Source organism: Homo sapiens, chromosome Y, assembly GCF_000001405.40.
Source record: "Homo sapiens chromosome Y, GRCh38.p14 Primary Assembly".
Lineage (NCBI taxonomy): Eukaryota > Metazoa > Chordata > Mammalia > Primates > Hominidae > Homo > Homo sapiens.
In genome coordinates, this window is record NC_000024.10 from 21,880,737 (window position 1) to 21,893,419 (window position 12,683).

General features: G+C 36.0%; 1 protein-coding gene across 8 annotated transcripts in view; it reads right to left on the reverse strand.

Annotated features, from left to right (window-relative positions):
* The window catches only part of RBMY1D (RNA binding motif protein Y-linked family 1 member D), a 32,316-nt gene that overhangs the window by 12,306 nt on the left and 7,327 nt on the right, over positions 1-12,683 (reverse strand). For 4 of the 8 annotated variants that reach the window (XM_011531487.4, XM_011531488.4, XM_011531486.2 and 1 more), the window contains exons 2-11: positions 11,669-11,781; positions 11,089-11,192; positions 7,892-8,069; positions 5,824-5,976; positions 3,699-3,813; positions 2,633-2,743; positions 2,081-2,191; positions 1,536-1,646; positions 504-614; positions 328-416 (exon numbers count right to left, since the gene is read on the reverse strand). In XM_011531487.4, the coding sequence (XP_011529789.1) occupies positions 328-416; positions 504-614; positions 1,536-1,646; positions 2,081-2,191; positions 2,633-2,743; positions 3,699-3,813; positions 5,824-5,976; positions 7,892-8,069; positions 11,089-11,192; positions 11,669-11,777 (1,192 nt within the window). In that variant the 5' untranslated portion in view covers positions 11,778-11,781. Of the gene's footprint in view, positions 1-327; positions 417-503; positions 615-1,535; positions 1,647-2,080; positions 2,192-2,632; positions 2,744-3,698; positions 3,814-5,823; positions 5,977-7,891; positions 8,070-11,088; positions 11,193-11,668; positions 11,782-12,683 lie in introns of those variants that run through there. The other 4 variants (NM_001320949.1, NM_001320950.1, XM_047442737.1 and 1 more) reach the window with 4 other exon arrangements.

The following is a 12,683-nucleotide window of genomic DNA, read 5'->3' on the forward strand; positions in this document are numbered from 1 at the left end:
TTTGGAAATATCTGCTTTCCTCCGCCTTTGTTGACAGGATATTAATCAAGGCTTTAATAGTCAGAAGGTTTTATTTAAGAGAAGTGTAAGAGTAGTATTTTGCAGCTTAACAAACTTAATTCTAAAGTAAATGCTCAGTCACATTTTCTTAACGTTAACTGAAGTTCTCACCTTCATATCATTCCCTAGGCTTTATACTGTTAAGAATACTCAATATTTAAACATGTTGCATATGGCCTTTACAATTTTCCTTAGAATTTCATTAAAATAACAATCTGGTCTATTAAATAAAATTCTGTAATTTACAAATCCATCCTGGACCCTTACCGTATCTCTGAAGTGCATCTCTATAAGAACTTCCACTTAGATGTTCAGAATGATCTCTACCAAGGGCCTCACCGTAGCCATCATGATAACTAAATTGAAAAAAAAAAAAGTCTTTTCAATTTCAGAATGAACAATTTAAGAAATCCATTTGATAAATCCAGATAACATGTTAGTACCTATATCCTCTAGAGGAATGTTCATCCCAACTAGAATGACCATAATCACGGTATGCATAGTCTCTATGTGGTGGAGCATAATCCCTGGTTTCTCGGGAACTTGGATGATTTCTGCGTGCACGAGTTGAAGCAAGGAATTTTAAATTGTCACCTTCTAGTATCCAAAACATAACTACATTACAACTTAAACACAATTAAATTGCCAAACATCTAAATAAAATGCCCACAGAGCCCAAATGCCCAAAATGCCCAAATGCCCAAAAAGCACATGAAACAGATACTCATAATCAGTGATTCAGGAAATGCATTTCAAATAAAAAAGGAGCTTCCACACTTCACACACACACACTGGAAGGGCAAAAAATTTTCAAAAGCAGGAAATAACAAGTGTTTGAGAGGATGTAGATAAATTGGAGCCCTGATACAATGTTAGTTGGAATGAACAATTTAAGAAATCTATTTGATAAATCCAGAAAAAGTTACAGTATCTATATCCTCTAGAGGAATGTTCATCCTGCCTAGAATGACCATAGTCTCAGTATGCCTAGCCTCTAGATGGTGGAGCATAATCCCTAGTTTCTCGGGAACTTGGATGATTTGTGTGTGCATAAGTTTAAGCAACAAGTTTTAAATTTTCATCTTCTAGTATCGAATACATGACTAACTTACAACTTTAAATTAAAAGGCCAAACATCTAAATAGGTATTTCTCCAAATAAAATAGGCAAATGCCCAAAAAGGACAAGTGACAGATACTCATATTCAGTGATTCAGAAAATGCATTTCTTTTTGTTTTATTATACTTTAAGTTCTAGCATACATGTGCATGATGAGTTAATGGGTGCAGAAAATGCATTTCAAATCCAAAATGAGATATCATATTTCACACACACAGATGAATGGCAATAGATTTTCAAAAGCAGGAAATAACAAGTGTTTGAGAGGATGTAGATAAATTGGAGCCCTGATACAATGTTAGTTGGAATGAACAATTTAAGAAATCTATTTGACAAATCCAGAAAAATTACAGTACCTATATCCTCTAGAATAACTTTCATGTCGACGAGAATGACCATAATCACGGTATCCATGGCCTCTAGATGGTGGAGCATACTCCCTAGTTTCTCGGGAACTTCGACGATTTCTGTATGCATAAGTTTAAGCAACAAATTTTAAATTTTCAACTTGTAGTATCCGATATATGACTAACTTACAACTTAAACAAAATTAAAAGGCCAAACATCTAAATAGATATTTCTCCAAATAAAATGGGCAAACGCCCAAAAAGCACATGGGACAGATACTCATATTCAGTGATTCAGAAAATGCATTTCTTTTTTTTATTATACTTTAAGTTCTAGGGTCCATGTGCATGACGAGTTAATGGGTGCAGAAAATGCATTTCAAATCCAAAATGAGATATCATATTTCACACACAGATGAATGGCAATAAATTTTCAAAAGCAGGAAATAACAAGTGTTGGAGAGGATGCAGATAAATTGGAGCCCTGATACAATGTTAGTTGGAATGAACAATTTAAGAAATCTATTTGACAAATCCACAAAAAGTTACAGTACCTGTATCCTCTAGAATAACTTTCATCCCGACGAGAATGACCATAATCACGGTATGCATGGCCTCTAGATGGTGGAGCATAATCCCTAGTTTCTCGGGAACTTCGATGATTTCTGTATGCATAAGTTTAAGCAACAAATTTTAAATTTTCAACTTCTAGTATCCGATACATGACTAACTTACAACTTAAACAAAATTAAAAGGCCAAACATCTCAATGGATATTTCTCCAAATAAAATGGGCAAATGCCCAAGATGCACATGGGACACATACTCATATTCAGTGATTCAGAAGACGCATTTCTTTTTTTTTTAATTATACTTTAAGTTCTAGGGTCCATGTGCATGATGAGTTAATGGGTGCAGAAAATGCATTTCAAATCCAAAATGAGATATCATATTTCATACGCACACACTGGAAGGGCAATAAATTTTCAAAAGCAGGAAATAACAAGTGTTTGAGAGGATGTAGATAAATTGGAGCCCTGATAGAACGTTAGTTGGAATGAGCAATTTAAGAAATCTATTTGACAAATTCAGAAAAAGTTACAGTACCTATATCCTCTAGAGGAATGTTCATCCCGATTAGAATGACCATTATCACGGTATGCATAGCCTCTAGATGGTGGAGCATAATCCCTCGTTTCTTGGCAACTTGGATGATTTCTGTGTGCATAAGTTTAAGCAACAAATTTTAAATTTTCAACTTCTAGTATCCAATACATGACTAACTTACAACTTAAACAAAATTAAAAGGCCAAACATCTAAACAGATATTTCTCCAAATAAAATCGGCAAATGCCCAAAAAGCACACGGGACTGATACTCATATTCAGCGATTCAGAAAATGCATTTCTTTTTGTTTCATTATACTTTAAGTTCTAGGATACATGTGCATGATGAGTTAATGGGTGCAGAAAATGCATTTCAAATCGAAAATGGGATATCATATTTCAAACACACATTTGAATGGCAATAAATTTCAAACAGCAGGAAATAACAAGTGTTTGAGAGGATGTAGATAAATTGGATTGCTGATACAATGCTAGGTTGGAACGGAAAATGATGCAGCTACTATGGAGAAATGTGGTGGTTCCTCAAGAAAACAAACATCATTATCATAGGACCATGCAATTCCACTCATATACACCCAGAACCGAGTAAGCACACTCAAACAAATATTGGTGCGTAGAAATACTCGAGTGGAAACAACGCAGATAAAATAATGGGTTAATAGCTTGTGGAAGGAGTGAAGTGCTATGATGTAAATGAACCTTCAGGACATCATGCAAAAGGAGAGGAGACAAATACAAAAAGTCATGTAGTGTTTGAGCACATTAACATTAAATACCCACAACAGGTAAGTTCAGAGGCAGAACACTGACTGGTGTTATCTAGCAGCTGAGGAAAAGGAGAAAATGGGAGGGACTGCTTAACTGGTAGTAGGAGTTTCAATTTGGAGTGATGAAAATGTTCTGGAACTCGATGGAGGTAGTTGTTGCATGGCACAGAATGTATCAAACACCACCTAACTGTTCACCTTATAATATTTAATTTTGTTATGTGAATTTCATCACCACAGGAAAAAAAAATCAACTGTGCTTTTTAATTTTTCCTTTACCCATCGTTAGTTGCATAACCATCATGTCTTGTTGACATGCGATCATTTCTCCAGGAAGATATTGTCGCTCTGCGTGGAGGAACTCCATAATTCTCTCTTCTTTGTGACATGGGACCTTTAACATTCAAATGATGGAACATTACGTAAAGAACACCAAATCTGAAACGCTATTTTCTCTTCTCTCAAACAACTTTTTAAAATTATTTCTTCTATGACTCCATTCTTTGTTTCCTAAATTACTAGACAGACATGACACTGTGAATATTTCTCATGGCTTTGGATAATCCCATGGCTCCCACAAGGCCAGTTCTTCTAATGAAGCTGAAGGCAAACATTAATGCTTAGGTAAAAGTTCATTTGTAATGGTTAATAACTACTTAGTTATTATTTTCCTTTCCATATAAATTACTGATGACTGTGAGTGACACAGGGAAAACACGTAAAACCATCAAACTCTTCACTGATTTTAAAGTTTACATACATTGTTCTTTCTCAGCCAAAGAAGGTAGATTTTCCAATATCATTCAGTCCATCTCACAGACACATAAATACAGCTACCTTTAAATGACTATATGCTAAATGTTTACATAAAAGTTCTTTAACTGGTTGGCTCTATCTTAAATGTTGACAAATTAAAATGTATTAGTGAAGATTTTCTAATGATGGTCAAGATTTGCTTTTACTGCAAAGAAAGCAATGCTATGCAAGGGGTCATTACAACACTGTTGCTGTTTCAAAATAGAAAGTTTCTCCTCTAATATATTCTTCACTTGCTATTCCTTAGCGGTCAGTGTTTCACATATGATACCTTCACTGGCTAATTTTCCAATGGAAATGTGTTGGCTTGGGTATCCTGAAGCCAATAAATACCTCCCTTCACCGATACTCTACGTATGAAATGTAAAATTGAAAATGGCAGTTTTTAACTTCCTCCGTATGCGGATGGAGGACTAAGAAAGAATTTTAATTTGCTCTGCTTAAACTTCCTTGCTAAGAACTTTTATTTATTGTCTTATTTTCTTCTGTTCAGTCTGCAGTCTTACAATTCTTCTCAAAAGTATTACTTGCATTCAACCCTACCGCTCACCTCATGTTGCTGAGTTCTAAATTCTCTCCTCAAATAATTTCAAATCTTACACTAAGGATCTTGTGTTAATGTTTAAACATCCCGGTACAATCTCAATTACTGATTTACATACACCTATATTTCACAACTCTGCATTTCTGTGATATCCACTTAATTTAAGAATTTTGGACTCCTACGTGTCTACCTCTCGAGCCTTAAATTTATTTTTAAATCATATTTAAGCCCAATGACTCCTTGTCTGCTAAATGCTCTTGTAGTTCTTTTGAATCTTCATGCAAGCAGTGAGTATGCCTTGCACATACGCATTACTGAGGTCTCAGAAGCTGGACGGCCAGGCTTAGCGGCTCACACTGTGAGTGAGTGTGGAAGGCTGAGGCAGCTGGACCGCTTGAGCCCCAGGCTTTAACATCAGTTTTGACAATGTAGTCAGATCCTCTCTCTACAAAAACATAGGGAAAAAAATGTAGCTAGGTGTGCTGCTGCATGCCTGTAGTTGCACAAACTCGGGAGGCTGAAACAGCAGAATTGCTTGAGCCCAGGAATTTGAGGCTATAGTAAGCCGTCATCTCACAAATTTGAGGCTACAGTAAGCCGTCGTCTCACATAGTGCACTCTCACCTAGTAAGAGCAAGACTCCAACCCAGCAAAGTCACCGAACAAGCAATTTTTAGAATGGGACACCAGGGGACTTAGGAAATGGAAGAGTTAATTAGATCAAGAAGCCTACCATCAAAGAATACTGCTAGGAACTTTTAGAAAAATTAAGGGGAATTTTCTAGCCAACACAGGATTAAAAGGAATGTTGGCCTCACTCTAATCACTTCTTTGATCTGCAATGAGAAGCTCAAGTATTTCTTCAACATAAATCTGAAATGTACCTAGTGAGATAGAAACTATAATAAAAGCTATCAATCAGTAATTATGCTCACGTATGTGTCACTTCTCTTTTGTTCAATGAACTTAAAGCTAAGCATTCAGCTAAAACGGCTCATTTTTAGTCATACAAAAACTACGGTCTTTCTGTCAGGCAGCATTTACCTTGGCTTCCCATCCAACTATTGCTTCTTGCCACAGCAGAAGGAGCAGATTTTTTCGGAGGAGGACCTCCACTTCTTGAAGATGGACCTCTTTTAACTGGAATGAGTCCCCTAGAATAACTCATCTTGAGATCAGGAGTGTATCCACCATCATCTGTATTTCAAACAAAATCTTTTTAGTTAACTGACGTCACTGTTTCTTAAATGGCTAAGTTTTAGTTGTTTACAAATATTTTCTACATTTTATAACAAATTCACATTTTGTCTAAACTAATAAAATTAGCATTCCTACAAGGTATTAGTACACTTCAAGCATTAAAAGTTCATTTAGAAAATCTAGAAAGAAACTCAAGTATCATAATATATCGGTATGAAGGAGAGATGTGGGAAAATGGGGAGTGAACGGGGGCAGAAATCTATCACTAAAATATCCAAATATAATATACATAAAAATATTAAAAGAAAAATGATAAATGACTGTTTATATCATTCTGTAATGAGGAAAAATTTTCAAAGCACATCATAAAGATAAACTAATTTCCATTCAAAGAAACTCAAATATTTCCAATACCAAGAAATCACATATCAGGAAAATACATTGTCTCTAAAATTTGTTAACACAATATAGAATTCTTAAAATTCCCTTATGAGACACTAATTTTCAGATGAGACTATGCTGAATTTTAACAGTCTTTAAGAATTGCATATTCGGTAATATAAACATATTTTTATACATCTACAAAAACGTAGATATATGCCAATTGCCAGGTGGTGTTACAGGTTAGAATTTATGTACACATTCTCGTCCGTGGCAGAGTATAATTGAAGCTCACCCTCAAGATCAGTGGAGGCAAAACAGCCGTGAAGCTACGCATCTTAAAATGGAGCAAACACTGCAATTTCAACTTGAAAACAATCTCCAATTAATTACATGTCTGGTTATTAAAACTCCAAGCTATTTGTTAGAGTTCTGAAGGTTGGTTAATAGATAATACAAGTTAACCAACAGGTTTATTTATTTATTTATTCAGATGCACTCTTGCCCTATCACGCAGGCTGGAGTGCCATGGCATAACCTTGGCTCACTGCAGCTTTTGCCTCCCAGGTTCCTGTGATTCTCCTGCCTCAGCCTCCTGAGTAGCTGGGATTACAGGTGCACGCCACCAGGCCCAGGCAAATTTTTTTGTATCTTTAGGAGAGACAGGGTTTCACCATGTTGGCCAGGCTGGTCTGGAACTCCTGACCTCGTGGTCCACCTCCCCTGTACTCCCCAGGTGCTGAGGTGACAGGCGTGAGCCACCTCGCACAGCCCATCCAATAGTTTTTTCTTTTTCCTTTTTTTTAAATATATGGTTTGTTTTTCTTTTATATGTAAAGATGGACCCCTCATTTCTATTAAGTAAATCACTCATAAATATCATTTTCAGTGACTCAGCCTCCAGCAAAGAAAGATTCATACATATCTGTGAAGCAGTGGTTTTTAGATCTTTCCAGAGTCACAGACTCTTTTCAGAAATTAAAGTTCTACATTTCTTAAATTGAAAATGCTTTACGGCAGGCCAATGTACAAACTCTCTGTATCAAAATTACAAAGCAATACATTTGCATAGATGTTTCCACATGTAGACACAAGAAAACAAATACTGCAAAATCAATCTTCAGTATTCAGTTACTTCTTCCTGTTGGAAAATTTTAAATATTACATCGTACTTTGATAATACAACTGACACGAAGTTCTGGGCCCTAAAGTAGAAAACTCTAAAGTATAATGAATATAAATGAGTTCTGCAGAAAACCGGTTGAGTACAGGCAATCAGCATTCACAAACACAACTCAGTTTCAAATGTGTGTTACTTCAGTGCAAACTTATTATAATTGTTAAACAAATTTTAGATATTAGTTCAATCATTCTTATAATACACCTTTATAGTACTTAGAAATAAGTTTGCTTATTATCAATAAGCTAATTTTCTCTTCATACAGGAAAGAAAAAAATTAAGAAATTTCAATATCGTCAAACTTATTTTCTTTCAGTCCTATGGTTCCATCTTTATATTTTAAAACATTACCCAGGTGCCCTTCTTGTGAGGGAAGCCACCCTCTTGTTCCTCCACGGCTTCCTCTTGCAGATCTCAGACTTCCTGAAGGGCTTCTGTTTCTCGAAGAAGCTGGTGGTCTCCGCCTACCACCACTTTGAAAAGATGGTTTCTTGGCTTGTTCTACTTTTATTGCTTTTCCATGCAAAGACTAGAAGTATTAAGGGTACTATCAATAACACCGGCACATTTAACGTAAGCACATTTTACAAACATTTTTACATCAACTGTAGTTCAATTTGAGGTATTTTTCTCCCAAAAGGAAACTTTTTTTTCTTCTAAAATGAACACATCTTTCGCAATGCCAAATTTGAGATAGTTACTGAGCACATGCCTTCCATTAAGGGATCAAACACAAATTCTATTATTCAAATTCCTTGAAAACTTTTCCATCATTAAAAAAAAAAAAAACTCAAACATAAAAAAAAAGTTTGACCCATCACACATTCTGTGGAAGAATGTGGCACATCTGTTTTTTACAATATATAATCCACTTCATCTTTGTAGTCACATCACTGATTTGAAAGTTGCAGTGTCCCAATGAAACTCGTGTCATTTAAAAAAAAAATGAGCTTACTTTTTCAGAGTGATTAGGCACATTACTCATTATGAGTTGTTTCTTGTTGGATTTGCTAACACTTCCATAAAATGTCCCCATATGATTTACAATTCTATATTGACTCTAAAAATGTTTCTGTAAATGTGATCCTTGTTTGATCTCATTAAGTTTTCTTGCCTTACTCATTTCTTACATTGCCTTAGACGTGCCCCTAAAAAACGAATCTTAATATAGTACTTCAGGTAATTTCTCAGAAATGCTTAACTATCCTAATTAATTTCATAATAACATTTTTCACTGTAATCTTTTCTACAGGCCACAGCAATTTTTGAAAACAGTTCAGCTAATAATGCGATTTAAAAATTACATGGCTTTTGTTATTTGGAGGAAGGACTTAAATCCCTGAACAAGACCGCTTGCAGCCACATCGCCCGTTGTTCCTACCTTGAAACTTCTTTTGTTATTTCTGGGCTCAAAATATTTTCCCCAGATTTGCCCACGGCTGCTTCCTTCCCAGTGTTCTGAAGTCAGCCAAAATTCCTTAACTGTTAATTCCCCCTGAAAACTCAAAGAACCTCCTTTATTGGCCATCTTAACATTAATGTGCATACAACATTCATAGTTATTTTAACACAATAAAATACGTGAGATGAAGTAATTTAGAAATAACGTTGGCTGGGCGCGGTGGCTCACACCGGTAATCCCAATACTTTGGGAGGCCAAGGCGGGTGGATCATGAGGTGAAGAGATAGAGCTCACCCTGGCTAACAGGGTGAAACCCCATCCCTACTCAAAGTACAAAATTAGCTGGGCGTGGTGGCGCGCCTCTGTAGCCCCTGGTACTGGGAGGCTGAGGCAGGAGAATCGCTTGAACCCGGGAGGCGGAGGTTGCAGTGAGCCAAGATGGCCCCACTGCAATCCAGCCTAGGGCACACAGCGAGTCTCCATCTTAAAAAACAAACAAACGAACAAAAACTTTACACAAATTACCTGCCCTTTTGCTTGAAAACTAGAGGGAAAAAAGAAATTATCATAGCTTCCTATACAGAAGTCAAAATTATCTCCATACCTACCACAAAGCCATGAACCAAAAGCAACTCTCGGTTTCTACCACAGCTTGAAATACTAATTTATAAGGGTGAATAAAAATGTACTTTCTGCTATGTGACAGGAAGTGTGCTAGATGTAACAGAAAGAAAAGCAACTAGCAAGACTTAAATATGCACTATATACAATTTCACGATCAATAGATTAATACATAGTACAGCGAGTAGAAAATACCTACAATACGCAATGAGGAAGAAAATTATGAAATCTAAGTGGTTTTTGAAGCATAAATTTTATTTATGAGCCATACACAGGGAAGGATAATTCTCAAGAAGTCTAAAAAAGCACTTTGGGAATAGCGTGAAGACTAACAGGACCTAAAAACAGATTGGGATAACGTTATTTATTTATTTTATTTATTTTTTGTTTTTTTCAGACGGATTCTTGCTCTGTTGCCAGGCTGGAGTGCATCGGCGTGATCTCGGCTCACTGCAACCTCTGCCTCCTTGGGTTTAACCGATTCCCCTGCCTCAGCCTACTGACTAGCTGGAACTACAGGCACACACAACCAGATGCAGCTAATTTTTTTTTTTGTATTTTAGTAGCGACAGGGTTTCACCATGTTGGCCATTATGGTTTCTTTCTCCTGACCTTGTGATCTGCCCGCCTTGGCCACCCAAAGCGCTGGGATTACACGCATGAGCCACCATGCCCGGCATGATTGGGATAATGTTATAAAGCAAAAAACACTAAAGAGCACAGAATGGAATGCTCTTGACTACAATGTAAAGGAATTCAATAATTAATATCATTACATAGAAGTTTAAAGCTTAAGTAAACACACAATCTCTAGATTTAAGACTCAACAGGACAAGAGACCATTGGTTCAATCAAAACAAGTCCTCAAACACACTGGGGAAATGAGTAATTAGCTATTCATGTTACATAAATCACTCTGGTGACAGGAAAGAAATGTCCTTAGGAGAAAAAGCAAGCATGGAGCCAAGAATGCCAGTTACTTCTTCTGTTATCTGACTTCAATGTTCTCATATTATTTTCTATTTTCAACTACTTAACCTTTCCGTAAATGTAAAGGTCTTATTTAAATACACTTTCGCAAGAATATATTTTCATAAAATATATTCTTCAAGAAGGAAAGAGTCTTTCCTTCTTGTGCGTCTGTCTAGATGTCTATCCAGTTTGTCTACGCTCTAAAAGTATTTCCATGAATTGGATGTACTTCAATTAATAGCATTTAATAAATATTGACTTATTACTTTCATTTACATGAGGGTTCCTTATAAGTTTTAAAGCTCTTCAAAACCTTTTAAAATCTATTTGCACTCATATCGAAATACAAACATAGAAAAAGGTTACCAAATATTAATTTATGTAATGTTAATTCCAATACCCTTCCAACTACACTTGCACGTATATGGCACAAAAAAGAGGATGGCTTCATGTGTCATTCTACTATCCTCAAAAGTTTAGCAATATTAAAAAGACCTAGAAATATTGTTAATTGAAGAACAGAGTTAGAATATTAGTAATAAGGGACTCTTACCTTTCCATTCATATCTTTGGCAGCATTCTTAGCATCTGCAGGGTTCTCAAAAGTAATAAATGCAAAGCCTCTGGATTTGCTGGTTCGATCCTTTATCAAAAGAACTAAAATATATGAAAACATTTTACATTCATATAATGGACTCATCAAGGTACTCACCATCTAAAGGTTACATCAAACTAAAAAATAATTGCATTTCACATCACTATTATGGTTCTCGATACTCAGTCACCCCTACAGTCAGTCTAGTTTATTCCAGTTTGTTTCGGAACTCCACAGCACATTTACTTTCCCTCATTTTCCTTTCTAAGTAGTAGGTTATCCTTTCCATAGAACCTTAACCTACTACTATGAGAATTTTCCAAATATCAAACAGATACTACAAAATAAGAGTTTAAAATGCATAAGGCATTTTAATGTAGGTATACAATGAACTTTGAAAAAATATATTTTTTCAAAACATATATATATAACATACATATTTTAAACATACCTATTGAAATATACATGTGAAAATACACACACACACACACACACACACACACACACACACACACACACACACGGTTTTAAGAGTTACCTTCTGATATGGGACCATGTTTCCCAAATACTGCTTTAAGCATCTTCTCATTGGTTTCTCTATTGAGGCCACCAATGAAAAGCTTGCCAGGATGATCTGCTTCTACCATTGTGCTGTAAATGGTAAAAAATTATCTATATTTAGATATAAATAAGCTAAAAAGATAAAATTTTATTACATACTGTGCTGAAAACCCAAGTAAAATTCCCTTCCTGAGGCTGACATCTTTTTAGTATTTCTTACTTTATATATGTAAAATTTGTAACACTCAGAGCAAAGGGGCACTAACTTCATGGACAAATGCTGCATTTTAGTATGTACCTGACAAAAATCTCATTTCTAAAAATTAGATAAGAAAAGCTATTGTAATTTTCCTCAGTTGCAATATGAAGAATGTCCCCATTTAAATAATTTTATTTGAAAAGAATCTATTTATGAGGTACAGTGTGATGTTTTGCATATTTTCTTTCTTGAGATGTCTGTCTCCTGTCGCCAAAGTGAACTGCTCACTGCAGGCTCTTCCACCCAGCCTCAACTGATCTTCCTACATCTCAGCTTCCCAAGTAGCTAGTACTACAGGCGCTTTCTACCACAGCTGGGCAATTTTTTGTATTTTTAAAAATAGACAAGGGTTTCCCCATAGTGCCCAAGCTAGTCTCCAAATCTTCGGCTCAAGTGTTCTGCCGGCTTGGGACTACCAAAGTGATGGGATTTCAAGGGTGACTCACCACACTCAGCATGATATTTGGATAAGAGATTAAATCAAGCTACTTAAAATGTTCTAGGAGGAGAATATTTTAAATATTTTACCATCTTTTAGTGATTTGAAATATACAATAGGTCAAAGATCCCCAAACCCTAGCCTTCAACCCGTACCTATCTGTGGCCTGAATGTGATGCCGGAGGATGACCTGCAATACCTGTCTGTGGAGAATGTAACGCCTGAGGATGACCTGAGGTGGTACAGTTTTATCCGGAAACCATCCTCCCTACTCCCTCGCTGGCCCTCCCTGTC